General features: G+C 40.0%; 1 protein-coding gene and 1 pseudogene across 2 annotated transcripts, besides 5 other annotated features; both read left to right on the top strand.

Moving 5' to 3' along the window:
* Positions 8543–8742: an enhancer, noted in NCBI's record as "active region_26787". NCBI's record gives its function as "activates an Ori minimal core promoter by ATAC-STARR-seq in GM12878 lymphoblastoid cells {active_cell/tissue: GM12878}" and the evidence as "EXISTENCE:reporter gene assay evidence [ECO:0000049][PMID:35858748]".
* Positions 8775–9420: an enhancer, noted in NCBI's record as "H3K27ac hESC enhancer chr7:140714403-140715048 (GRCh37/hg19 assembly coordinates)". NCBI's record gives its function as "activates a minimal SCP1, AML or CMV promoter by ChIP-STARR-seq in primed H9 embryonic stem cells {active_cell/tissue: H9 hESC(primed)}" and the evidence as "EXISTENCE:reporter gene assay evidence [ECO:0000049][PMID:30033119]".
* Positions 8890–9198: a silencer, noted in NCBI's record as "fragment chr7:140714625-140714933 (GRCh37/hg19 assembly coordinates)". NCBI's record gives its function as "represses an EF-1alpha promoter that drives an FKBP-Casp9 reporter gene in an ReSE screen in phorbol 12-myristate 13-acetate-treated (for megakaryocytic differentiation) K562 erythroleukemia cells {active_cell/tissue: K562(+PMA)}" and the evidence as "EXISTENCE:reporter gene assay evidence [ECO:0000049][PMID:32094911]".
* MRPS33 (mitochondrial ribosomal protein S33) lies at positions 9071–21413 on the top strand. Of its 2 annotated transcripts, none has more exons than NM_053035.3 (3): positions 9071–9112; positions 13363–13604; positions 17488–21413. In NM_053035.3, exons 2-3 carry the CDS (start codon positions 13390–13392, stop codon positions 17591–17593), a joined length of 321 nt encoding a protein of 106 aa, NP_444263.1. In that variant the 5' UTR covers positions 9071–9112; positions 13363–13389; the 3' UTR covers positions 17594–21413. The 2 variants fall into 2 exon arrangements, with proteins under 2 accessions (NP_444263.1, NP_057155.1); NM_016071.4 differs by lacking the exon at positions 9071–9112 and adding an exon at positions 9344–9472.
* Positions 9263–9312: an enhancer, noted in NCBI's record as "active region_26786". NCBI's record gives its function as "activates an Ori minimal core promoter by ATAC-STARR-seq in GM12878 lymphoblastoid cells {active_cell/tissue: GM12878}" and the evidence as "EXISTENCE:reporter gene assay evidence [ECO:0000049][PMID:35858748]".
* Positions 10563–10632: an enhancer, noted in NCBI's record as "active region_26785". NCBI's record gives its function as "activates an Ori minimal core promoter by ATAC-STARR-seq in GM12878 lymphoblastoid cells {active_cell/tissue: GM12878}" and the evidence as "EXISTENCE:reporter gene assay evidence [ECO:0000049][PMID:35858748]".
* On the top strand, positions 24235–26279 carry CCT4P1 (chaperonin containing TCP1 subunit 4 pseudogene 1; annotated as a pseudogene).

Genomic DNA, 26790 nt, shown 5'->3' with positions numbered 1-26790 from the left:
TAAACTATACCCTAGAACAAATGCACTTAACAGATATTTACAGAACATTCTACCCAACTGCAGAATATACATTACTTTCATCAGCACAAGGAACAATCTCCAAGATAGACCATAAGATAGGCCACAAAACAAGTCTCAATAATTTAAGAAAACTGAAATCATATCAAGTACTCTCTCAGATCACAGTGCAATAAAATTGGAAATTAACTCTAAAAGGAACCCTCAAAACAAAACAAATACATGGAAATTAAATAATCTGCTTTTGAATGATCTTTGGGTCAACAATGAAATCAAGATGGAAATTAAAAAATTCTTTGAACTGAATGATAATAGTGATACAACCTATCAAAATGTCTGGGATACAGCAAAACGGTGCTAAGAGGAAAGTTCAGAGTATTAAATGCCTACATCAAAAAGTCTGAAAGAGCACAAACTGACAATCTAAGCTCACATCTCAAAGAATTAGAGAAACAAGAACAAACCAAGCCCAAACCCAGTAGAAGAAAATGAATAACAAAGATCAGAGCAGAACTAAATGAAACTGAAACAAAAAAACACACATACACAAAAGATAAAAGAAACAAAAAGCTGGTTCTTTGAAAAGACAAAATCAATACAACCTTTGTAGATTAAATCAGGAAGAAATAGAAACTCTAAACAGACCAAAACCAAGTAATGAGGTTGAAACAGTAATTTTAAAATTGCCAACAAAAAAAGGGTCCAGGACCAGATGGGTTCATAACTAAATTCTATCAGACATTCAAAGAAAAATTGGTACCAATCCTACTGAAACCATTCCAAAAGATAGAGAAAGAGAGGATCCTCCCTAAATCATTCTATGAAGCCAGTGTTACCCTAATGCCAAAACCAGGAAAGGACTTACCAAAAAATAAAAGAAAGAAAGAAAAAGAAAACTACAGATCAATATCCCTGATGAATATAGATGCAAAAATCTTCAACAAAATACTCGCTACTGAATCCAACAGCATATCAAAAAGATAATACACAATGATCAAGTGGGTTTCATATCAGGGATGCAGGGTTGGTTTAACATATGCAAGTCAATAAATTTGATATACCACATAAACAGAATTAAAAATAAAAATCATGTGATCATCTCAATAGATGCAGAAAAAGCATTTGACAAAATCCAGCATCCCCTTATGATTAAAACCCTCAGCAAAACTGGCACAGAAGGAACATATATTAAGGTAATAAAAGCCATCTATGACAAACCCACAGCTAACATTATACAGAATGGGGAAAAGTTGAAAGTATTCCCCCTAAGAACTGGCACAGGACAAGGATGTCCACTCTCACCACTTTTATTCAACATAGTACTGGGTCCTAGCCAGAGCAATCCGACAAGAGAAAGAAATAAAGGCCATCCAAATCAGTAAAGAGGAAGTCAAAGTGTTGCTGTTCACTGATGATATGATCATATATCTAGAAAACCCTAAAGACTCATCCAAAAAGCTCCTAGATCTGATTAATGAATTCAGTAAAGTTTCAGGATACAAAATCAATGTACACAAATAAGTAGCACTGCTATACACCAACAGCAACCAAGTTGAGAATCAAATCAAGAACTCAAGAGCTGTTTTACAACAGCTGCAAAAAATAAAATAAATTAAAATAAAATAAAATATTTAGGAATACAACTAACCAAGGAGGTGAAAGATCTCTACAAGGAAAACTACAAAACACTGCTGAAAGAAATCACAGACAACACAAACAAATGGAAATACATCCCATGCTCATGGATGGATAGAATCAATATTGTGAAAATGATCATACTGCCAAAAGCAATCTACAGATTGAATGCACTTCTCATCAAAATACCACAATCATTGTTCACAGAACTAGAAAAAAAATCCTAAAATTCATATGGAACAAAAAACAGCCCACATAGCTGAAGCAGGACTAAGCAAAAAGAACAAATCTGGAGGCATCACATTACCCAGCTTCAAACTATACTATTAATACAAGGCTATAATTCCCAAAACAGCATGGTACTGGTATAAAAAGAGGCACATGGACCAATGAAACAGAATAGAGAACCCAGAAATAAAGCCAAACACTTAACAGCCAACTGATCTTCAACAAAGCAAACAAAATTTCCACTGGGTATTTACCCAGAGGAAAATAATTCATTACATGAAAAAGATACTTGCATACGCATGTGTATAGCAGCACAATTTGCAATTGCAAAAATATGGAACCTGCCTAAATGCCCATCGATCAACGAGCAGGTAAAGAAAATGTGATATATATATCATAGAATACTACACAGCCATAAAAAGGAACAAAACAATGGCATTCACAGCAACCTGGATGGAGTTGGAGACTATTATCCTAAGTGAAGTAACTCAGGAAGAAAAGCCAAACATTATATGTTCTCACTTATAAGTGGAAGCTAAACTATGAGGACACAAAGGCATAAGAATGATATTATGACTCTGGAAACTCAGGGGGAAGGGCAGGAGTGGGGGTGAGGGATAAAAGACTACACACTGAGTACAGTGTACACCGCTCGAGTGATAGTTGCACCAAAATCTCAGAAATCACCACTAAAAAATTGATCCACGTAGGGCCGGGCGCAATGGCTCATGCCTGTAATCCCAGCACTTTGGGAGGCCAAGGCGGGTGGATCACAAGGCCAGGAGATCGAGACCATCCTGGCTAACACGGTGAAACCCCATCTCTAAAAATACAAAAAATTAGCCGGGTGTGGTGGCACGCACCTGTAGTCCCACCTACTCGGGAGGCTGAGGCAGGAGAATCACTTGGACTGGGGAGGCGGAGGTTGCAGTGAGCTAAGATTGCACCACTGCACTCCAGCCTGGGTGACAGAGTGAGACTGTGTCTCAAAAAAAAAAAAACATTCATGTAACCAAACACCACCTGTTCCCCACAAAACTACTGAACTGCAAAAAAAGGTCTCCCTGTGTTGCCTAGACTCTCGAACTTCTGAGCTCAAGAGATCCTTCCGCCTCAGCCTTTCAAAGTGCTAGGATTACAGGCATGAGCCACTGCACTTGGCCAGTTTACATCATTGCTTTTTCTCCTTGAAGTTATATTCTACTCCTCTCACAAAATGTTACTTTATCTTAATATGTTTTTATGCTTGAAAGCTTTTACTGACCATGTGTCATATTTTCCTGCAACAAAATATTTGTCAATTGAATTTTAACTTTTTTAACTTCTATGACTAAAAGTATGTGTTGAAAATATTTTTCCCTTTGGGTTATCATTACAACTTTTTGTACACAAATGATCAAAATGACTTAAATATATCATGAATTTTGATGAACACTTATAAACAAAAAACTTCTTAACATATCCCTTGATAGATGAAGTTTTCCCCATGTAGTTAATATAGTCAAATATGAATTTTTAATTGCTTGGAGGGGACAGCATCAATCCTATTACTATCTTCACTTAAATGGATGTAAGCATTGAGAAAATGTGTTCACATAAGTGGATGGAAATGGGAAAACCTGTGTTATAGCAGTATCACACAATTTTTTTAAACCATGGTAAAAAAAACACAGAACATAAAATTTACCATCTTAACCATCTTTAAGTGTATAGTACAGTAGTGTTGACTATATGCACATTGTTGAACAATAGGTCTCTAGAAAATTTTAATCTTGCAAAACTGCAACTGTGTATCCATGGAACAACTCCCCTTCCTCCCTCCCTCCACCCCCTGGCAACCACCATTCTACTTTCCATTTCTAAGAATTTGACCACTTTACATGCCTCATATAAGTGGAACCATGCAATATTTGTCTTTTAGTGACTGGCTTATTTCACTTAGCATAATGTCCTCAAGGTTCATCCATGTTTTAGCGTATGACAATATCACCCAATTATTTGAACTCTCTCTGAGTTATATGACAAAGGTACATAGAAATCTATCACAAAAATTATTTAATTATCTGTCAGCTAAAAACTTACCTAGTCCCTTCTTCTTTTTCTGAAAACAAAGAATTACTTTCAACCTGACTTTTAAGAGCATGTATTATACAGTCATTCGCTTTCACAATGTTTGGGAAACATACCAAAAAGGCAACACCAAGATTTGCAAAATCTATATTTGTTCTGTTTTCATTTAGAATCACCTTGTTTTATCCAGGAACAGTGGCTTACACCTGTAATCCCAACACTTTGGGAGGCCAAGCGGAGAAGGATCACCTGAGTCCAGGAGTTCGAGTCAAGTCTAGGCAACATAGCAAGACCCAGTCTCTACAAAAACTTTAAACAGTAGTCAGGCATGGTGGCTCATACCTGTAGTCTCACCTATTCCAGAGGCTGAGGTGGGAGGATCTTTGAGCCCATCAAGGGGTTAGTAAAATGGATATATTGTTAATTTTGATACAAAATATCTTTTATAAAATGATTTATATCATCATGCACTTTATACATTTTTGCCAAACCTTGGAGCTGTAGATATGGCTTATTCAATTTATAGAAAACACCCATCAGCCACATAATCTAATTAGTAAAGTTAATCCTCATTGTCAAACCAATCATCTAGGTCAGATTTACTTTCCAACCTCATTTTTAACTAAATGTATTAGAATATGTATTCTTAGTTTTTTTAAACTAGGAAATTATCAAATACATCTCATAATCTCAATTATTAAAAGCAGCCAAGATTAAAATGATATCAAAACTATTAGAATTGGTTTATCCATTTTTATAATAAGCCATAAAACCAAGAATAAATCTATATGGTTTTTCTCATTACTTATTTCCTAATAATAAAACATAATGTGTGAGATGAATGTTATTTATGAATTAGAGTATAACAGACAATATTCCTTCAGTATGTCTGTGTGTATATTGAACTTTGGTTTTCAGCTTTTAGGAATAACTGAAGAAGAATAATATATAAATATTCTAGAATAGCTCTAAACAATTTTTTGGAAATCATAATCAAAATGTTTCCTATATATTTAATGAAGAATAAAAGAATATGCTATTTAAAAAGTAATCAGCCTAGAAGCTAAAGCATAATTTTATTTTTGTTAATAAGAGGCAGAAAGAAAGTCAGGATTGAAGTATTTCTCTATTTCATAATAGAATTTGATAAAAATAAGTGTATCAGACAAGATAGGCTAGGTCATGCTCCAATAACAAACAACAAATTTGTATGACTTAAAACAGAGGCATGTGAATTAAAACAACAACGGCTCATTTCTAACAAAAGCTATATTTCCAATATGGCTGGTGGAATAGGATCAGCCCTTCATAACAACTCAGGAGCACAGGCTGACAGTGCAACAACTCTCTGTCTCAGAAGGGAAGGAGAGCTCTGGAGTTTCATCAGGGTAAATAACCACCTTAATCGGAAGGTGACGCTTCACATCTGCTCATAACTCATTGGCCAGAAAAAGTCCTAACCATGATCCTAACCAATCTCAGAATTCCCATGAAATACAATCTAGCCAAAGTGGAAGGAAATGGAAAAGATTTGGTGAACTGTATCAGTGATTATCACAATACATTTTCACATTCATTGAACAACACACACCAAATCTAAAATAAAATTATGTATGACTTTTGCACAGTTTATTCCAGTGCAATGTGAAAAATATGAAGGTACCTGAAAATGATCTGTATGATATTTATAATGATCAGTGTCACGGCCAGGGGCGATGGCTCCCATCTGTAATCCCAGCACTTTGGAAGATGGAGGCAGGTGGATCACCTAAGGTCAGGAGTTTAAGACCAGCCTGGCCAACATGGCAAAATTCTGTCTCTACTAAAAATACAAAAATTAGCTGGGCGTGGTGGCAGGTGTCTGTAATCCCAGCTATTCAGGAGGCTGAGGCACAAGAATTGCTTGGACCCAGGAGACGAAGGTTGCAGTGAGCCGAGATCATGCCACTGCACTCCAGCCTGGGCAACAGAGTGAGACTCTCTCCAAAAAAAAAAAAAAAAAAAAAATCTGTCACAAAGCTCTACTACTTCAGCTGTTCAGAGTTGCTTTTCTTTCCAGATAATGCTATATCCTATGGAGAAGTACTGAGAATAGCTGAAAAGAATTGCTTAGGTTTAAATATACGGGAAAAAAAATTGGCTTCGATACTTTCTTCAGTGCTGCTTTGCTCTGCTCTTACCAGATTCTCCTTCAAAAACACTGCACTTTTCAACAGAGGATGGAAGACATCTGATGGTTAAAGGAAAATTACTGTCACTCTTACCACTAACATTCACACAGTATATCTGATTTCAGAAAATCACAACAAACCAATTACCATATTTCTGACAGCCGTACTTCACCCTTAAGTGGAATATATGTAAGATAGGAAAAGACATGAAGCCTAAGAAGGGTTGATGGTGCCTTGATTGATCATTAGAGGAAGCTTCCTCCAAAACATTTTGAATCTTCCTTTCATCTGTCATCCTGGAAGGTATATCCCTCACACCTTCAGTGATGGATATACCTTTCTTTTGTAAGGTCCAAGAACTACTGTAAATGCAGATGTAAAAAAGAACCTACATGATGCTAAGAAAGAATACTTATGAAAATACGGTATCTGTAAATTGATTTACTTAAAGCAATAAATATTCCCCTGCCCCTTGGACTATGCCACACCATAAGAACTTTAAGTTGATGTAGCTTTAATTCTTGCCCTGCCTAATGACAAAGAACATTTGCCAAAGAGTATGATGAATAATGAAATCACTTAAAGTGGAGGCTTTCCATTTTACCACAACCTACAGCAAGAAATATATTTATATTATGATCCAATGCACATATACATATTGTTTCATGAAACAATAATTACCCCTACTACATGTGATGCATTTAGATATTTTTTATCCTAATGTCTTTCTTTTAATGCTGGTCTCTATTCACTAAATTGATTTCACAGCCAACTAATGATTCACAGCACACAATTGGAAAACACAGGACTACAGAAAATAGAAATATATAAGGAAATATCTGATTTATAGAGCAATCTCTGATTATAAAAAGTGCTCTTAAAACTGCATTATCTTGGCGGTGTAAATGGGTAAGCCAAGGTCTGGTGAAGTCAATATCCATAGGAGGTTCAATTTTATTCTATTCATTTCATTTTTCCATCCCTAATATTCCAACTTTCCTATTGATAAGTAACAGTCTCTGATTGGCCAATTTCAATGGCTTACTCCTTCTAATCCTGTGGTAGGCTAAAACTGTTCCCCAAAGATAACAGAGTCTAATCCCTGGGACCTGCAAATGTTACCAGATACGGGGAAAAGGCCTTTGAAGATGTGACTAAATTAAGGATCTTCAGATTGAGAGAGTATTTTGGATTAGCTCCATGGGCCTTAAATGCAATTACACATTCCTAAAAGGGAGGCAATGGGAAGTCTGACACACATAGTGAAGGCAATGTGAAAAGGGAGCAGAGATGTGAAGATGTTGGCCTTGAAGTCTAAAGTGATGTGGCCACAAGCCAATGAATGCCAGCAGCCACCAGAAGCTGGAAGAGTCAAAGAACTGATTCTCCCCTAGAGTCTCTGGAGGGAACACAGCCCTGTCAACATCTTGATTTTGGCCCAGTGATGCTGATTTTGAATTTATGGCCTCTAGAACTGTAAGATAATAAATTTCAGTTGCTCTACAACACCAAGTTTGTGGTATTTTATTATAGCAGCCTCAGGAAACTAATATGAACCCCCATGAAATTGACTTAATAAAAGTGATAGTGCAAAGTACCTAAACAGTCACCTGAAACTCTATATACCTAGCTATGTTTCAAGAAAGATTTATGGTAGCTTATAGTAATTCACAAAACATTGATAACACCAATAATTCATACGTGAAAAGGAAAAAACAGGAAGGATATACAAAACGAAGCCAACAAGGTTTATGCAAAAAATATATATATGTGTGTGTATATATATATATACACACACATATATATAGCTCTTGCCTCGAGCCAATTAAAATTTGGCTTTAAACCAGCAGCTTACACGTAAAGGAAGTCTTCTTGTTTATATGATTCAGTGGCCATTACATAAAAACAAGCCAACTCCACAGAAACAAGTACAAAAGACAAGACGAAATTTCTCCCAGGAGTTTCGCTCCTTAGGACTTCTTTTCTGGACTGTAGCCATGTATAGGATACTCATTACCCCTTTGTAAACTTAAATGTAGTCACTAGACCCAACTTTATAAGGCTGTTTACTATATCATATAAGGCTGATAACATGTCAAAACTTAACTTGATAAAAGCAAATCCTATAGCATAGATTGATTAGACGTCAAATTCTAACTTAAAAGTAAATTCTGTAGGAGGAAAGAGGGTGTAAATACAATACCCACTAGGTAGGCAACTCACTACCGATATTAATTCCAGGGTACATTTTGAAATATTTATAAAATGCCTTGAACGATACTCAGAAAACGAGTACAGTTTCCTCACCCAAACTATCAAACATTGAGTAAGTGCTGCATACAATGCCTATGGGATGTGGCTTGCTTGAAAACAGATTTAGTATGGGGTGAAATACTCACAATGCTTTCTACTATCTGCCCAGCGAGGTCTAAGATAACTACTGAGGAGACAAACGTTCCATCCCCTACTCCCTGAAGAAGCTCCTGGGTCAATGGGGGAAAGCGCTCCTAACCCAGTAGCAAGGAAGGCTTGCAGCTAGGGATCCTAATTAACTATTAGAAGATGAGCAGATAGATGGAAGGGGAGGGGGATGGCGCCGCAAGTCGGTCAGAAAGACCACACGGCACACGCATCGCCATTGCTTCAGAGCTTTTGGAGGCAGGTCTGTAGCCATTCCCACCAAAACATACTACCGAACCGTGCATGCCCTTCCAGGAGAGCCAGACCTTTCTAACTCTCCCCAGCCCACCACCTCCCCGGGTCCTCCGCACAGGCGGCGGCGCTAGCCTTACTGCGCAGGCGCCAGGTACACCTCGGAGGCCTCAGGAGGGGGAGCCAGTAACTCCGGGTCGTTCACTAGGGCTCCGCTCTAGCTGCCAAGCTTCCGTTTCTCTACTGCTCCCCGTAATAGTTGCCTGCGCGAGCTTGGAGCCGGGTAGAGGGCGGGCCTTCCGGGACGAGGGCGCGTGGGTGAGGAAGGTCAGGTCTAGGTAAGGCTGTCGGTGACTTTGGGGGTCTGCAGCAAGGGGCGATGGCTGCGAAGTCTACGGGGGTCTCCAACCTTGTAGAGTCGCCAGGAATAGGGCGAATCCACTTCATTAGTGACCAGCTCGGGCGGTTCACGTGCATCACACAAATAACTTGGCCTTTTTCTGCCTCAGTTGGGGGATTTCTTAAACGTAGAATACCCGCGTTTCCGCTGCCGTAATTTCCTCTCAGGCGCAATTACTCTCTTCCATATTGGTTAACAGTAGAAGGCTCAGTTTCTCTGCTCATCACACGGCCTTCGGCACTGTAGCTTTGGGTGGTGGGCTGCAGATTAATTTTGTAACCACCTTAAGAAAAATACGGTAAGGTGATATTTAAGAAAAATATTTGCGAAATGCGCTCCCGAGTCAAACATCGGTTGACTTGACAATACTACAGTTTCCATCACAGTCAGGCATGATCGAGTCAGGTGGAGGGAGTTGAAGATTGTTCTTGATGAACTGAATGCAGCTAATACATTTTCAGTGCCGTTGATGCCTCTATGACTCCGTAAAATAATCGGTACCGGGTTTTTTTGTTTTTAAGCATTCTGTTGAGATTGTTTTTATGTTTAGATTGTTTCTATGACAACGTGTGTACACTGTATGTGAATTCCTTGGATCCTGATGGTTATTAGGGTGGGCACTGTGCCGTGAATTTTGCATATTAGCTTCACATCGCAGATAGTATGACTGTCCTCGTGTAGTCGATGAGAGAACCTGGCAGAGAATAAGCACCATTACAAAAACGACGTGGCCATTAAAAGGCAGAGGCGAGATTCCAACCAGCTTTTTTATTCTGCAGCTGGTGCGTTCTGCTAACCAATGGTTTTTGGGAAACTGGAGAAAGCTCTCTCCCAGAACAATTTACACACACACATACATACACATATCGGCATACAGATGTACACTTCCACTGTTTTCAAAACGCTGAAGCACATCCCGGTTAAGAACTCTTGCACTTCATCTTTACCTTTCAAAGAGAAAAGGCAAACCTAATACAAAGCCACTTATTGAAATAATCTTTTAAATGCATCAGACCTATCAAAAAGATCAAAGAAGTTTGCCCTGTTATGCCAAAGTAAAAATATGGGAATTTTCTTCTCATGTGGGCTTAATTTGTTTTGCTCAGCACATTTGAGTAATTTGTTTTTGCTTAGCATTTTCAGCTCCAGTTAACTTTTTTCATGAGAGTACAGTTTTCTTTAGTTCACATTTAAAGAAAGGTAACACTTAAAGTGACTTGTACTCCCCGAGAATGGTTTCATGTGAATCAAAATGTAATTGACATGCACGTTGTAAGAAAAGCTCCCGTGTTATTCTTCGTGAGAGACATGTGTCTGTGCACTGTGGAAGGAAACAACAAAGCAGTGTCATTGGTAATTGTTAAAACCACTTTCAGTTTCCTCCTGTTTAGCAAGTGGGCCTTTGTTTCTAGTAAGGGATTCAGGTTTGAAAAGGCTTATTCCCTTTCTCTGTCATAAAACTTTAGGACTTGGATTTTATGATATAACCATGTTCCAGCCTATTCTAGTGTGACCTTTTTACTTACAAGTTATGTATCCCAGTAATTTGCCACATTCCAAAATGGGCATGGACATAACAGCAGCATCCTGTGATGGCTTCAGTGACTACTGTCCTACTGAGTCCCTTCCTCCTCCTGGCTATCTTGTCAAGTTATCAAGGTGCTGGTCCTCTCCCTATGTTTCTCTGGCTGTCAGTCTTTGTAAATGAGGTCATCATTCCAGGGAGGCACAAAGTTTTTACTATATGGAGTATCTATCTGTCTGTCTCTCTCTCTTTTTTTTTTTTTCTTAAACATGATTAAGAACAAGGAATAAACAAATGTGTCTATGTAGAATATATGAAAACCAAACTTACAGATCTGGGCTCGTTCTTTTTTGTAAGTTACCATTTACTACTCAGTGCCACTGTTACTCATTTTCGCACTAGTCATGCAAGCTTTGTTTTCAGAAAAGGAGACTCAGAGAAGATGAGTAACTGTTCACAATAACCCAAGGATTAAGTGACAGAGCCAGTAGTCAAACCTAGGCCTCAGGAATCCCTGTTGCCTCTTCATTGACAAATAAAGGGACTTGGAATTCAGAACAGATTTTCCTGAAAACACTGTAACAAACTGATAGTTCCCATACCAGCTTACAGATAACTAACTGTGGAAATACTGTGCAATTACAGCAGAAATATATTCTGATGCCACAATGGTAATTAAGCAAACAAAGCAAAGTTGATGAAGCAACTATTGTTTTTTAATCTAATGTTTGGAAAAAGGTAACTTTAAAGGGCAAAGGAAGAGAAAAAGCATGCAAAGAAACTAGGTGACTCTGGACATTTGCAAGGCTTTTTAGAGGTTTATGGCACTGATTTGTTTATACATTAAACTGCTAAATGAATTTTTTTCACCTTGAGACTATAACCCTAGTCCTAACAACCCCACCCCCAACCAGAGTTGGCAAAGAAGTGAATCAGGAAACTGAGAATGCTGAATGGAAAAGGAAGAACAGGCTTGTAGGTGATCTGCAGATGGTGGGGAGGGAGGGGTGGACGTTGGATCTGACAGTTCTACCGTTGCCAGCCTTCAGGTGGCACTATTGACCCAAAATTGCTTGGTTGGTGTTCTGAATGGTTTTGAGGTTGACAGTGGTTTGAGATCAGCCTCTGCTTTTTTTTTTTTTTTTTTTTTGACACACAATCTTGCTCTGTCACTCAGGCTATAGAGTACAGTAGTGCAGTCATAACTTAGTGTAACCTCAAACTCCTGTGCTCAAGTGATGTCCCCCTCCTCAGCCTCCACGAGTAGCTGGAACTACAGGTGTGCACTACCATAGCAGACTAATTTTCTTATTTTCTTTTGTTTTTTGTTTTTTTTTCTGTAAAAACAAGATTTCTCCATGTTGCCTGGGCTGGTCTTGAAGTCCTGACCTCAAGCGATCCTCCCACCTCAGCCTCTCAAAGTACTGGGATTATAGGCATGAGCTACCATGCCCAGCCTCCTCTGTTAATGGATCTTGAAACAGGCATTAAAACTTCCTTAATTTAAACACGGTTTGTTTTCTTACAAGAACTATTTTGAAATTCACTTGGCACCATTTTTATGTAGGAGGGTTTTTGGTACATTTCTCCCATTGGTTTTTCAAAGTTTATGCCTTTTTCCTGCTTGAATATCAGCACCTTTTCATCTCAGCTGAACTGTTTCCCAGGATAGTCTCTGAGTCAGCAAAGATTCTCATCTCACTACTAAAATTTCTCATAAATTGGCATATTCTGCCAACAATAACCCCTACGTCTGGTCTAAACTGAGTTGAGATAGTTATTCCACCAGCAGCTTTCTTGATTTTTATGTATCCCCTGTATAGTTTTTTATGTCTGTTAGCTGTAATTCGTGCATATCACGGATATCATTCTTATACCCATTTCAGTGTTGTATGTCTCTGAAGAAAAAGCTACTGTTTCCAGCTGATAAGAACTTAGGTAGTTTGCATTAAAGCAGAATATATAAGATGGAGGATACAGCAAGTAACCTTACAATTCATACGTGCCTTCTATTTAGTAAGAAAATGGATCTTTTGAGCTATTGGATTTATTTTTATAGGGCTACTGTCTGTTTTTCCCAAATGGCTCTCAGTCTCTAGGCAAAATTCAGTTCAGTAACCTAGAAGCCAAATGACCTCATAACTCATTAGCAGCTCTCAGAGCCTTCTGGAGCCCTTGAGGAGAACAGTGTTCAAAGGACTGATAGTAAAGACAACATAATTATGTCTCTGCCATGATTACACCTTTTGATGGCAAGCAGTCAGCATATTAATGCTGCAGATTGCTTAGGTGGGTGTTTTCTGAAGGTATAATGATGCTGGATTAGGATAACTTGTTTCCCTGTCTTCTTCATCCCCAGCCTACAAATAGGTAAACTGACTGTCAGTAAATAACCTGGTGAATCACAAAATAGTTGGTTGCAAAGGAGGCAATACAGCAAGGAAGTAATAGCATGTAAACACGAAGTGCAAAAATCGCAGCTGTAAAGCATGGAAAGGAAATAGCCATTTGGACTGTGGATACTTCTCCACTCCAAGGCATATCCTGCCAACACTGCACTGATCCATGAGTGGCTTGCTGTGTTTGCATTTTCTAACTTATTCATTAGCTAATCTTGGAATTTCTTACCCTAACCTGTTTAACTTTCTTCTCATTTTCAATAGGAACTCTAACTCCTTGCCACTCAAGAAATGTCCTCCCTTTCAGAATATGCCTTCCGCATGTCTCGTCTCAGTGCCCGGCTATTTGGTGAAGTCACCAGGCCTACTAATTCCAAGTCTATGAAAGTGGTGAAACTGTTTAGTGAACTGCCCTTGGCCAAGAAGAAGGAGACTTATGATTGGTATCCAAATCACCACACTTACGCTGAACTCATGCAGACGCTCCGATTTCTTGGACTCTACAGGTGATGACAAACACAAAGAGGGACCTATGAGAGACTTTTTTTCAGTAGATCAGAAAAGGAAAAAAATTAGCCTTTCTATCCTTGTAGTTTTGTTCTTATAATAGAGCCCAGGTAGTTCAAAAGGTACAGTTGGCAGGAGAAAGTCTTCTTTCAAAATACCCATAATGGAGAGACCAAAAAAAAAAAGGAAATTCATGCTTGTTGGAAGATATATTTTAATTATGTCTACAACATGACTAATGTTGAATAGATACTGAGCTGTAGAGAGGTGTTTAATCATTTGTTAATCTAAGAGCACTCTAAAAAGGATGCCAAGAGGCCAGGCGCAGTGGCTCACGCTTGTAATCCCAGCACTTTGGGAGGCCGAGGCAGGCAGATCACGAGGTCAAGAAATCAAGACCATCCTGGCCAACTTGGTGAAACTCTGTCTCTACTAAAAATACAAAAATTAGCTGGGCATGGTGGTGCACGCCTGTAGTCCCAGCTACTCGGGAGGCTAAGGCAGGAGAATTGCTTGAATCTGGGAGGCGGAGGTTGCAGTGAGCCGAGATCGCGCCACTGCACTCCAGCCTGGCAACAGAGTGAGACTCCATCTCGAGAAAAAAAAAAAAAAAACAATGCAGAGAAAAACTGGTCCAAGTACTGAGGAAGAAAGCCTCAGAAACACCAAGGTTGCCAGGGCAGTGGGCTCTTGTTATCAGATGAACAGAGTCCCTGACCGACACCTGATCTGCTGCTTAACTGGTATGTGGGAGCCTTCTTTCTCTTCTGGTGGCATTTTTGTTGACATTTCTTCCTACTGTCTTCTGGCATTTTTATTTTGTACCCTTTTTGACATATTAATTTGGTCTAGATAAGCTGTAGTTTGCCTTTAAGGATAATACGTAAATCACACAGGTTCTTAACACCATGTGTTTGTATGTGTGTGTATGTCTAGGGAGTAGGTGCTTAGAACTGTGTGCATCTCTGAAAAAAAAAAAAAGATCAGGCCAGGCACAATGGCTCAGGCCTATAATCCCAGTGCTTTGGGAGGCCGAGGCAGACAGATCATCTGAGGTCAGGAGTTTGAGACCAGCCTGGCCAACATGGTGAAACCCCGTCTCTACTAAAAATACAAAAATTAGCTGGGCGTGGTGGCACACGCCTGTAATTCCAGCTACTTGGGAGGCTGAGGCAAGAGAATTGCTTGAACCCAGGAGATGGAGGTTGCAGTGAGTCAAGATCATGCCACTGTACTCCAGCCTGGGTGACAAAGCAAGACTCTATCTCAAAAAAAAAAAAAAATCAAATACCTGTGTGATCTTTCTCATTAAATTATTTTTTTGGCCAGGTATGATAGCTCACAGCTGTAATCCCAGCGCTTTGAGAGGCCAAGGCGGGCAGACCACTTGAGGTCAGGAATTCAAGACCAGCCTGGCCAACATGGTGAAACCCCGTCTCTACTAAAAATACAAAAATTAGCTGGGTGTGGTAGCACATGCCTGTAATCCCAGCTACTTGGGAGGCTGAGGCAGGAGAATCGCTTGAACTCAGGAGGAAGAGGTTACAGTGAGCCGAGATCGTGCCACTGCACTCCAGCAACAGAGCGAGATTCGGTCTCAAAAAAAAAAAAAAAAATTATTTTTTTAATTACCAAACTAATACATGCCCATTACAAAAGAATTCAAATAGTACATAATTGTATAAAGTTAAAATACCTACCATCTTTTTAAAAATTTAACAAGTTGTAATTGGAGTTGTCTTTGGGCAACAATACTAAAATTATTGGGAACCATTTATTCTAATACAATAGAATTAATAGTACAGCACAACATTCATTGCAGATCACTAAAGATTGGTACATTCACTATCCAGTGGATATTTCTTACGTACCTTCCACGTGCAGGCACTTAAGATGGCACTAGGGGAACAGCAGTGAACATAATAGATGTGCTTGGTTAACATTAGAGGTTACAATCTATGACATGTTTTGAATGTTTGGAATTGCTTTGGGACTACCTCTCTTGCCATTAGTCTGGGCTCAGAAAATAAAAACTAATTTTATTATAACCCAAAATAAAATATTGGGAGGCAGATATCCTGAGGAGAAGATTATAACCCATGAAAAAATCACATTCAGTTATTTTAATTGATCTTTTTGCTGCTGCTGTCTGTTTGTTTGAAAAATAAAGACTTAACTATCTTTGGGGACAGGGAAAAATAGTTATCCATAGAAAAACAAGATTATTTTCACGTAGTCACTAGGTATGGTAAATGATACCTCTAATGCTAGGCCTCCTGTGGCATCAGGCAGGATGAAACTAGACAGTCTCCAATAAAGAAAATATTATTCAGAGATCTGCAAAAGAGGGAGGGAAGCACCAGTTCTCAGAAACAATTGATTCATTCAGTTAACCAGGTACCTAGCTTGTATCATCAACAGAGACAGAGTCGCCAGAAAGCTTTCTTTCTGTCCAACGGTTGATGAGAATGAAGGAGGGACAGAAGAGGGGGAAAAAAAATAAGTAAATTATAGGATCTGTTACAAAGTTGAACATGCTGTGGAAAAAAATAGTAGAGCCGGCTGAGCAGGATCCAGAGTGCTGACGGGGCCTGCAGTAGGTGGGGAGAGGCTAGATTACAGGATGAAACAGGACAGTCAGGGTCAGCCTCGTTGAGGAGTTGAGGTTTAAGCAGAGGCTTGAAGGTGGTGAGTGAGCCAAGTAGGACTTGGGGAAGAGTTTGCAAGGCAGAGGGGCAAGAGCACAGCAAAGGCCTTGAGGTGGGAGTGTTCCTTTCCAGGAGGCGTGCAGGTACCGGGAGGGTGTGGGACTGGAGACGGATTGCAAGGGGCTGTGAAGCCATAGTAAGGACAATGGCATTTGCTCTGGTTGAAATGGGGAACTATTTGCAGGGCTATGAACAGGAGTAGCATGATCTGACATATATTTTAGAAGAATTATACCAGCTGCACTGTTGAGAATTATTTGGGGACACTCACCACTAATCCCAAAGAGTTGTATACTGTCCATGATGTTCATGGATAGCCTAGAGAGTTAAAACTTAAGCTCAGCACACCCCTCTCTTACATTTGATTCATACACTGTTATTATCCATACTTTACAGGTTAGGAAACTAAGGTGCAGGGAGGTAAGGCCACTTATCCAAGGTGACAGATCTAGTAAATGGTGGAGCCGTGATTTGAACCCAGGTTCACATGGAATCCAGAGCTTACATGTTTAAACACCATACCAATCTTTAGGTATCTGGGCTTAAGATGTGGACTTTTTTTTATAATATAAGCAATCATCAACTTCTGTGCCATCCACATACTTACGTAGTCCTGGCTGCTTTGATTCCTTTAGTATCTGTCTTTTGATTTGGCTTCCTTCTGCCTGAGCCTTTCCCCAGCAGCCTTTTTGTGTGAGTTACCTGCTGCCACTAAGGTTTCACCATGTTGGCCAGGCTGAGCTTCCTCCAGACCTCACCCCATTCTGAGTAGATGCTAGTTCCTAGGGCAGTCAGGGTCTCTGTGTAGCTATTGAAGCAGATTCCCACTTTGTCTCCTCTCTGTTTAGTCTTAGTGTTGCAGGGAAATTTGGGGTAATCATTAGTATTGTGTCATTGTTATGTAGGTTTATGTAGGCTGGCCTGGGAATTTCCCTGCAGCTTGTGGCAGTGTTTCTGTGAGGGGAAACGGACTTACAAGTGAACTTTTGGAATACACCGCATCTCTGTGTTAGGGACTCCCTATACTTTTTGTTCACCAAGCTGAGCATGTGGCTAACTTGTAAAAGTCAAAGATCGATAACCAGAATGACCTAAGAGAGCAGTGCGTGCTAGATTAGTGTACTTTTCTACTCGTAAAAATAACTGGTTAATTATTTTTTCCTTCTTCATTCAGAGATGAGCATCAGGATTTTATGGATGAGCAAAAACGACTAAAGAAGCTTCGTGGAAAGGAGAAACCAAAGAAAGGAGAAGGGAAAAGAGCAGCAAAAAGGAAATAGTGTTGGTCCCTCAAGAGGGAGACTTTCTTCCTCAGTGGCGGAGAGAAGAAAGTGCATTTATTGTCTTTCCACCTATTGGAGGAATGTCATCTTCCTAAATGAAGTTTATTTGGAGGAACACAGTCATCTCCTTGGTGAAATCTAATCCGGTTACATTGTGGCTGGTTTCTTGAACACATTCTAACTGTGCAAAATTATCTTGGCCTTGGCCGTGTAATGTGAGGTTTACCTGATTCTCTAATGAAATAAATACCTAAGTTATTGTTTGATGATTTGTTTGGGGTGGGATGGGATGCTGGGGGAATGGAGGGGAAACCTCATTAAGTGAGCATCCTATAGTGTCCTCATTTCTCCCTTCTTGCTTACTGACTCACCCAGCCCTAAACTTCTTTCATCTTGGGCCTTTCAGCCACTGTCTCCACCACCAAGCTCACAAACTTTGTGTGTGTCTTCACCTACTCCTTTGAGAAATCTATTAAGATGAATTTGTAGAGTAAGTATCTTTTAAAAGGAAGTATTGAATACCTGCTCTGTACAAGATATTGGGGCCCTGGTAATACACGTGGTTAGCAAGAGAAATACTCCCTACCTCATGTAAGTTTCAGTCTTGTGGGAGGGACTAATATTACATAATTACATACAATTGTATTACATGCTACAAAGGAAAAAGCCAGACTTCTATAAGAGCATGGATGGATGGATGAATGCAGAGAGAGATAGCCAGAAGCCCAAATCACATTAGGGAGTTTAAAGAAAGCTTCCCTAAAGAAATGATATTTAAGCCAGGCGCTGTTGCTCACACCTGTAATCCCACCACTTTGGGAGGCCGAGGTGGGTGGATCACAAGGTCAAGAGATCGAGACCATTTTGGCCAACATGGTGAAACCCCACCTACTAAAAATGCAAAAATTAGCTGGGCGTCGTGGCATGCACCTGTAGTCTCAGCTACTCGGGATGCTGAGGCAGGAGAATCGCTTGAACCCGGGAGGCAAAGGTTGCAGTGAGTTGAGATCACGCCACTGCACTCCAGCCTGGCAACAGAGCAAGACTACATCTCAAAAAAAAAATGATATTTAAGCTGAACCTTGAAGAATAAATAAGAGGTTGCCAAAAGGAAAATGGTGAGAAAGGGGTTTGAGGCAGAGAGTACTATTTGCAAAGCCCTAAGGTATGAAGAAATTGTCTGTTCAAGAAACACTGAGTTTGTTCATGGTTGGCTGTAAGAAAACAGAGGCCAGATCATGAAGGGCTTTGGAAATTCTGTGGAAAAGCTTGAACATAACTAGAAGTTCTATGAGGGATGACTGTTGTATAGATTTGAGTAGCTCGCTGCTGGTTTTATTGTATTCCAGCAATGAGTTTCCAAAGAAATTGTGAAGGCTTGGCCGGGCACAGTGGCTCACGCCTGTAATCCCAGCACTTTGGGAGGTCGAGGCGGGTGGATCACGAGGTCAGGGGATCGAGACCATCCTGGCTAACATGGTGAAACCCCGTCTCTACTAAAAAATGCAAAAAAGTTAGCCGGGCGTGGTGGTGGGTGCCTGTAGTCCCAGCTACTTGGGAGGCTGAGGCAGGAGAATGGCAGGGAGGCGGAGCTTGCAGTAAGCTGAGATGGTGCCACTGCACTCCAGCCTGGGCAACAAAGCGAGACTCTGTCTCAAAAAAAAAATTGTGAAGGCTTCTCTGATTTTTTTTTCCAACAGTTGTTCTGAATCTTTAGCATGTCCAGTAATTTTTTAATAACTTTTTATTATTGTAGTAAAAACATAAAATTAATGATCTTAACCATATTTAAGTGTACAATAGTGTCAATATTCAAACATATTATTCAAAAAATAATCAAAATATAAAAGCATTTTAGTGCGATAGTATTTATTGGAGTATGTATAGCAGCTACTCCAGCCACAGTTTTCTTTCTCTGTAACACTCAATGATTCCTGAAGTAGAAAGATTCCCAGTACATATGTTTAAATGAATGCTATTTTTAAAGATACCTAATCCAGATGGTATGGCTAGGGCCTATTTTATAGCCTGTTTAAAAAAATAAAATAAAATAAAATTGGGTGGTTTGTATGTGGTAGAAGTGAATTCCAGCAAAAGGAGAATTCATTCATTTAGACCTTTTTTTTTGTTTGAGACGGAGTCTCACTCTCACCAGCTGGAGTGCAGTGGCGCAATCTCAGCTCACTGCAAGCTCCACCTCCCGGGTTCACGCCATTCTCCTGCCTCAGCCTCCCAAGTAGCTGGGACTACAGGCGCCCACCACCACGCCCGGCTAATATTTTGTATTTTTAGTAGAGAAGGTGTCTCACTGTGTTAGCCAGGATGGTCTCAACCTCTTGACCTCCTGATCCACCCACCTCAGACTCCCAAAGTGCTGGAATTACAGGCATGAGCCACCACACCCAGCCCATTTAGAACTTTTTACTGAGCACCTGCCATGTGCTCGACACGTGATAGTTGTAGAGGATACAGAGACAAATAGACTTAGTCCCTAAGACTGTGTGAATGAGCATGTGTGTATTACAAAGTATTGGCAAGATCTCAGAAACGTGCTTAGAAAAGTGCAGATGCACTGTTATTCTTGGCCAATGCAGCTGAGCCAGGTGTAGGTGGATGACTACCCCAGGATGTTGAGCTGAGAAACAGGATCTCAGCCTGAACCCAATGTAGCTCAGCAGATGTTTGAATTATGTGATCTCCAGCTTTTGGGAAAGATCTGAATGTAAGAGGAACTTAAGAGAATTAGCATGATATTTTAAAGAGAATAACTGCATTACATTCTAACAGCAGACCTGAGTCGGAAAACAAGTAAAGAATCGATGTATTGGTTTGCCGATGGAAGAGCTTCAGTGAGATCTCAGACCCTGACCCTGCAGTGAGCCTTGGCAATGATTGACAGGGAAGTTTGTAGATAACGCAGAAGTAGATTAGTGTGCCACTGCTCCAGGCTGAAAATCAGAAATGAAAGCTAAAATACATTTGTACATAAGCTATACCTTCAATTGATAGAGCAAGCTGTGTGACTCAAAACAGCCTGTACAGAAGTACGATGGACCAGCTGGAAGGTATCAATAGAAGATAAGGAAAAGTTAACTCTTGACACCAGGGAAGTCAACAAATTTCAGGACAACAGTGACCAATGGTTAAGATGGTGACTAAGTGTAATCAGAAAAAAATCTTTAACTCCAAGTTTAGACTAGCCAGTTTGTTTAATTGGATTTCTCTGGTCAAAACCTAAACTATTGGTGCTTTCTAACCTGTGGGGATCAGTGTGCATAGACCATTTTGCCCTCGATTTCAGCATAACATAGTAAAAAGACTGGGTTTTAGATTCAAAAGTCATGGGTTTGTGATACAGTGTACTTACTGATTATGTGACGTCAGTTACTTCTCTGAACCTCTTTCCTTCTCTATAAAATCATAATGCTTCACTGGATTAATGAAATAAGATATTTGTGAAAAGAACTCTGTAAATTATAAAAAGTTAAAAACTTTTACATATAGCACATTATGTGACTAGTAAGTACTGCTGTGTCTTACTAGCGCAATTTTCTGTGGCAGCATTGACACGTATCTCCTAAAAATATAAAGTTCCCCACGTTTACAAGCAGCATGATAGGTTCAGGAAGAGGAGGTAGATGAGAGGTAACATCTTATTATTTATGTAATTATGGGCTCCATAAGTTTATTTTTTAAGCACCATATATGTGTGTGTTTCAAAATAAACATAAGGCATCATATATTTAAACATATATAACCATAATGCTTGTATTTATAAATCATTTTCCAAGAAAGAATAAATCAAAATTTGAAATTCTGCCTGCTTCACCCCGTCTCTCTTTATTCACACATTTCTCCCAAAGATCCTATGTGCCTAATTTTAGAGATTTAGAGCAGGGAACAAACTTCAGGAGCAATAAATAGGGGGAAACATCTGTTATCCTGCCAACCCTGTCTTCATGGCTTTCGTTAAGTACTCAAGAAAGGTTCAGAAGAAAGCATTTCTTAAAAAAAAAAAAAAAAAAAAGAGAGAAAGAAGCAGCAAAACAAACAGTATTACATTCAAGGATACTTAGATAAAACAGAGAGACTGTCCAGCCCTGGATACTAAGATAACTGGATAAACAGTAAAACTTTTATGCTGAACTTAAAACAGTGAAATGTTTTTTAAATGCCATAAAGGCAACAAAATGGAGAGAAGGGTTATAAAACTAGCCAGATGCAATTTTGTAACTTAATTGGAGATGTGGCAATATTACAGATTCACATTAAAGTAGAAAGTAGAGTTAAACCAAGGTAGATTCTAAGACCTTTTCCATTCTACTTAAGGAAATATGTGTTTTCTGAAAGGATGGATTCATTTATGGAGAATGTTCTGTGTCCCTGTTGCAGAAGACCGAGCTCCACCTAGCCTTGTCTCAGTAAGACAATCTAAATTGGGCTCAGTGCAGAATCATTTTCCCGATAGAGCCACAAACAATTGGCCTGTTGAGTTTAGAATAAAAACTATTCTAAACAGAAATTGAAAGACTAAGGATACAGATTAATCTAAAAAGAGCTCCAGTCTGAGAATATCTGTGAGAAATGGCCAGTGGGTTAAGCACCAAACTAGTAACAAGTTAATATTTAAAAAGAGGGTTAGAGATAAAAGAGGTCAATGTTTGCATCATCAGGAATGACTTCCCAAGCAGGACAGCAATAAATACAGATAAGGCCAGCATTTCTGGAGTGTTTAATACATTGTGCTTTGCAGGCTATATCTTATTTGACGCCCCCCCATATGATAAACATCCCCATTTTGCAGATAAGGAGACCAATGCTCAAGATCACACAGCTATAAATGTCTAGACTGAAGTTTTAAATTCAAACTGCTGACTCTAAAACATGTACCTTCTTTTTTTTCTATTCTCCATCCCTGGTAGGTGACAAACCCTGTACCTTTCATCACACTCTTAATGTAGGATTTTCACAAGCAGAGAGAAAGGGTTGAAGCAAATGGTATGAACAAAGACCCACAAGCAACCATAAAAACTTTGCTTAGTGAGAGCTATGGTGCATGACCTGGCAACCTCAGAGTCATAACCTGAATAAACCAACACTGAGCCCTCAAAGTCCCACTGTCTTTTCCTGACCTGGTGATGTAGCTCTAACCTCTCTGAGTATTATTATACCAGTAACTATCATTTGTCAAGTGCTTCACCATTTGCTAGACACTCTGCTTCACTCTTTTTTTTTGAGACAGGGTCGCGCTCTGTTGCCCAGGCTGGAGTGCAGTGGCACCATCTTGGCTCACAGCAACATCCGCCTCCCAGGTTCAAGCGATTTTCCTGTCTCAGCCTCCCAAGTAGCTGGAACTACAGGCGTGCGCTACCACACCCAGCTAGTTTTTTTGGTTTTTGTTTGTTTGAGACAGAGTCTCGCTCTGTCGCCCAGGCTGGAGTGCAGTGGTGCGATCTCGGCTCACTGCAAGCTCTGCCCCCCGGGTTCACGCCGTTCTCCTGCCTCAGCCTCCGGAGTAGCTGGGATTATAGGCGCCCACCACCACGCCCGGCTAATTTTTTTGTGTGTTTTTAGTAGAGACGGGGTTTCGCCATGTTGGCCAGGCTGGTCTCTAACTCCTGACCTCAAGTGATCCACCTGCCTCGGCCTCCCAAAGGGCTGGGATTACAGGCGTGAGCCACCCGGGCCTGCTTCACTCTTACTGTAAGTTGTATCACTTAATCACTACAACGGCTCTAAGAGGTAAGTATTATTTTCCCCCATTTTATACACAAACAAGTTCAGAGCTGTGGTTCTCAACTCTGGTTATGCATTAGAATCAAGATTCCTGTCACCGGTCCCCCTCCAGACTAATCAGAATAGGGGTAGATAGAGAAAAGCTCCTTAGGTGGCTCTACTGTGCAGCCAAGGTTAAGAAATATGGTTGGCCGGGCGCGGTGGCTCACGCCTGTAATCCCAGCACTTTGGGAGGCCGAGGCGGGCGGATCACGAGGTCAGGAGATCGAGACCATCCTGGCTAACACGGTGAAACCCTGTCTCTACTAAAAATACAAAAAATTAGCCAGGCGAGGTGGCGGGCGCCTGTAGTCCCAGCTACTCCGGAGGCTGAGGCAGGAGAATGGCGTGAACCCCAGGGGGCGGAGCCTGCAGTGAGCCGAGATTGCGCCACTGCACTCCAGCCTGGGCGACAGCGAGACTCCGTCTCAAAAAAAAAAAAAAAAAAAGAAAAAGAAATATGGTTTAACACAGTATTTCTCAAACTTAAGTATTCATCAGCAGCATCTTGAGGGTTTGTTCAACATAAATGGCTAAGCCCCACTCCCAGTTTCTTGTTCAATAGATCTCCAACAAGGCCCAAGAATTTGTATTTGTAATAGGTTCCCAGGTGTGGCTGATGATGCTGGTCTGGAGATCACACTTTGAGAACTATGGTTTAAAGTAACTTGGCCAAAGTCCCCCAGCTGGTAGATTCCTGTGGCCCTCTAGCTCCCTAGTGGAATTCCATAGCCATCCTGGAGCCTTTCCCTAACCCTAAAGGAGCACATCTTTAGAACCTGACAGCAAAACAAACAAAAAACAAAACAAGATGTAACACATAAGGAGAAAGTTTTAGTTAACATGCCCAAGTAAAGATGTTGTTTGGACCATGGAGCAGGGCACCCACCAGGGCTGCCAGCTGCTGTGTGAAAGGTGCCTGTCAGGGATATGACAAGCAGGCTGAGATCTGGTTCAGCAACATCACAGCCAAAGCTGTTGCTGATGCTATTAAAACAAGCCTTGGACCAAAAGGAATGGGAAAAAAGATTTAAGGTGGAAAAGGCAATGTGATCACTACAAATGATGGTGCCACCATTCTGAAACAAATGCAAGTGTCACATCCAGCAGCAGAATGCTGGGGGGGCTAAGATATAGAAGCAGGAGATAGCACTGCATCAGTTGGCACTATTGCTGGCTCTCTCATAGGTTCCTGGGCCAAGCTTCTTCAGAAAGGGATTCATCCAACCATCACTTCCAAGTCATCCCAGAAGTCTTTGGAAAAGGGTATTGAGATCTTAAGTAACATATCTCAACCTGTGGAACTGAATGACAGAGAAACTTTGTTAAACAGTGCCACCAGTTCTTTGAACTCACAGGTTGTCTTTCAGTATTCAAGTTCTGCTTCCTCCGACGAGTGTAAATGCAGTGATGAAAGTGACCCAGCTACAGGTACTACTGTAAATCTTAGAGATATTAACATACAGTCATGTGTCATGTAACAGTATTTCAGTCAACAACAGACTGCATATGACAGTGGTTATAATGCCATGTATTTGCTGTACATTTTCAATGTTTAGATATGTAGTATTCAGTATAGTAACATGCTGTACATGTTTATAGCCTACAAGCAATAGGCTATACTATGTAACTATGTGTGTAGTAGGCTATACCACCTAGGTTTGTGTAAGTACACTCTATGATGTTTGCATGACAAAATGACCTAACAATGCCGTTCTCAGATTGTACCCCATTGTTAAGCAATATATGACTGCGGTTAAGAAACTTGGTGGAAAAATTGATGACTGTGAGTTGGTGGAAGGTCTTATTCTCACCCAGAAAGTGGTAAATTCTGGCATAACCCAATTTGAAAAGGCTAAGATTGGGCACATTCAGTTTTGCTTATCTGCTCCCAACAGATTTGGAAATCAAGTAGCAGTTTCTGACAATGTTCAGATGGACTAAATGCTATGAGAGAGAGAGCCTATATTTTAAGTTTAGTATAGCAAACTTTTACAAATGGGATATAATGTCCTTCTCATACAGGACACTTTAGAGACGCTCCTAGTGATCTTGCATGACATTTCCTGAACAAAATTATTATGTTGGTTAAGAATATTGAAAAAGAAGATGTTGAATTCATTTGTAAGACAATTGGAACCAAGCCAGTTGCTCGTACTGACCAAGTCACACTGACATGCTGGGTTTTGCTGAGTTAGCTGAGAAGGTCAGTTTAAATGGTTCTGGAAAACTGCTCAAGACTACAGGCTGTACAAGTGCTGGAAAAACAGTTAAAATTGTCATAGGACTGAAGAATTGAGCCTTCCATTCACGATGTGCTATGTATTATTTGCTGTTTGGTGAAGAGAGCTCTTACTGCAGGAGGTGGTGCTCCAGTAGAATTGGCCCTATGGTTAACTGAATGTTTGTGAACATTGAGTGGTATGGAATTTTACAGTGTTCATGTTTTGCAGATGCTATGGAGGTCATTCCAACTACACTAGCTGAAAATGCTGGCTTTGAATCCCATTTCTACAGTAACAGAACTAAGAAATCAACATGCCTAACAAGAAAAAAATTGCAGGCATTAGTATCAAAAGGGCAGTATTTCCATTTTGGAAAACTGGTTGCCCAACTTTTGTGATTTCATTTATTGCTCTGACCCTAGCAAATGAAACTGTCCAGAGAATTCTGAAAATTGATGCTGTGGTAAATGCTCAGAAATCTGGATAATACTGACTGACTTACACTCTTATAGCTACTAGTATTGTGGCTGAAGGGGAAGATCACCTTAGTGCTCCTTATTATTTGGAAGATTGTTTCCTCTATGAATTCCTGGGCTTGGTCTTCCAATTGGCATTTGCTTGAAATTGCATTGATACAATTTAGTGAACACATTAAATATTTGGTTTCCCAAAAAGATAATTATTTACATTTAATTTATATAATTTATCTTATAATTTTTATCAAAATTTTAATAGACATTTTTGGAGTGCAGTTGGAAAAACAATCCATTTGGAAAACCAAATAGGAGAGAACACAAGAGAAATTGTAAAATGCAAGAATAATGTGGGGACCCATATGAGATGTTGAAAATTATGTAATTAAAATTGATTTTTAAAAATCAGACCACTGACATTGGTGGTCTCAAAGAGGTATTTGTACACTCATGTCTACAGTGACATTATTCAGACAAATGGTCTGCTTCTGAACACAGAAGTGCATACAAAGAGGTAGCCATTGTTGTTGCACCTCCTCCTATTCTTGCAAGCCCCTCTGCCTTTAGCTGAAGTGACTTCAGGGGATTTAAAGGGTAAGAACCCTCTTTTCTCCTCTATTTTTCTCATTTTACCCTTTTGGGAGCCAGGCATTTTGTCACTACAAAAAAATACAAAAGTTAGCTGGACGTGGTGGCATGTGCCTGTGCCTCTAGTCCCAAC

The sequence above is a fragment of the Homo sapiens genome, chromosome 7, assembly GCF_000001405.40.
Source record: "Homo sapiens chromosome 7, GRCh38.p14 Primary Assembly".
NCBI classification, from domain to species: domain Eukaryota; kingdom Metazoa; phylum Chordata; class Mammalia; order Primates; family Hominidae; genus Homo; species Homo sapiens.
Note: the sequence above shows the minus strand (reverse complement) of the source record. Positions and strands in the feature narration are given on the sequence as shown.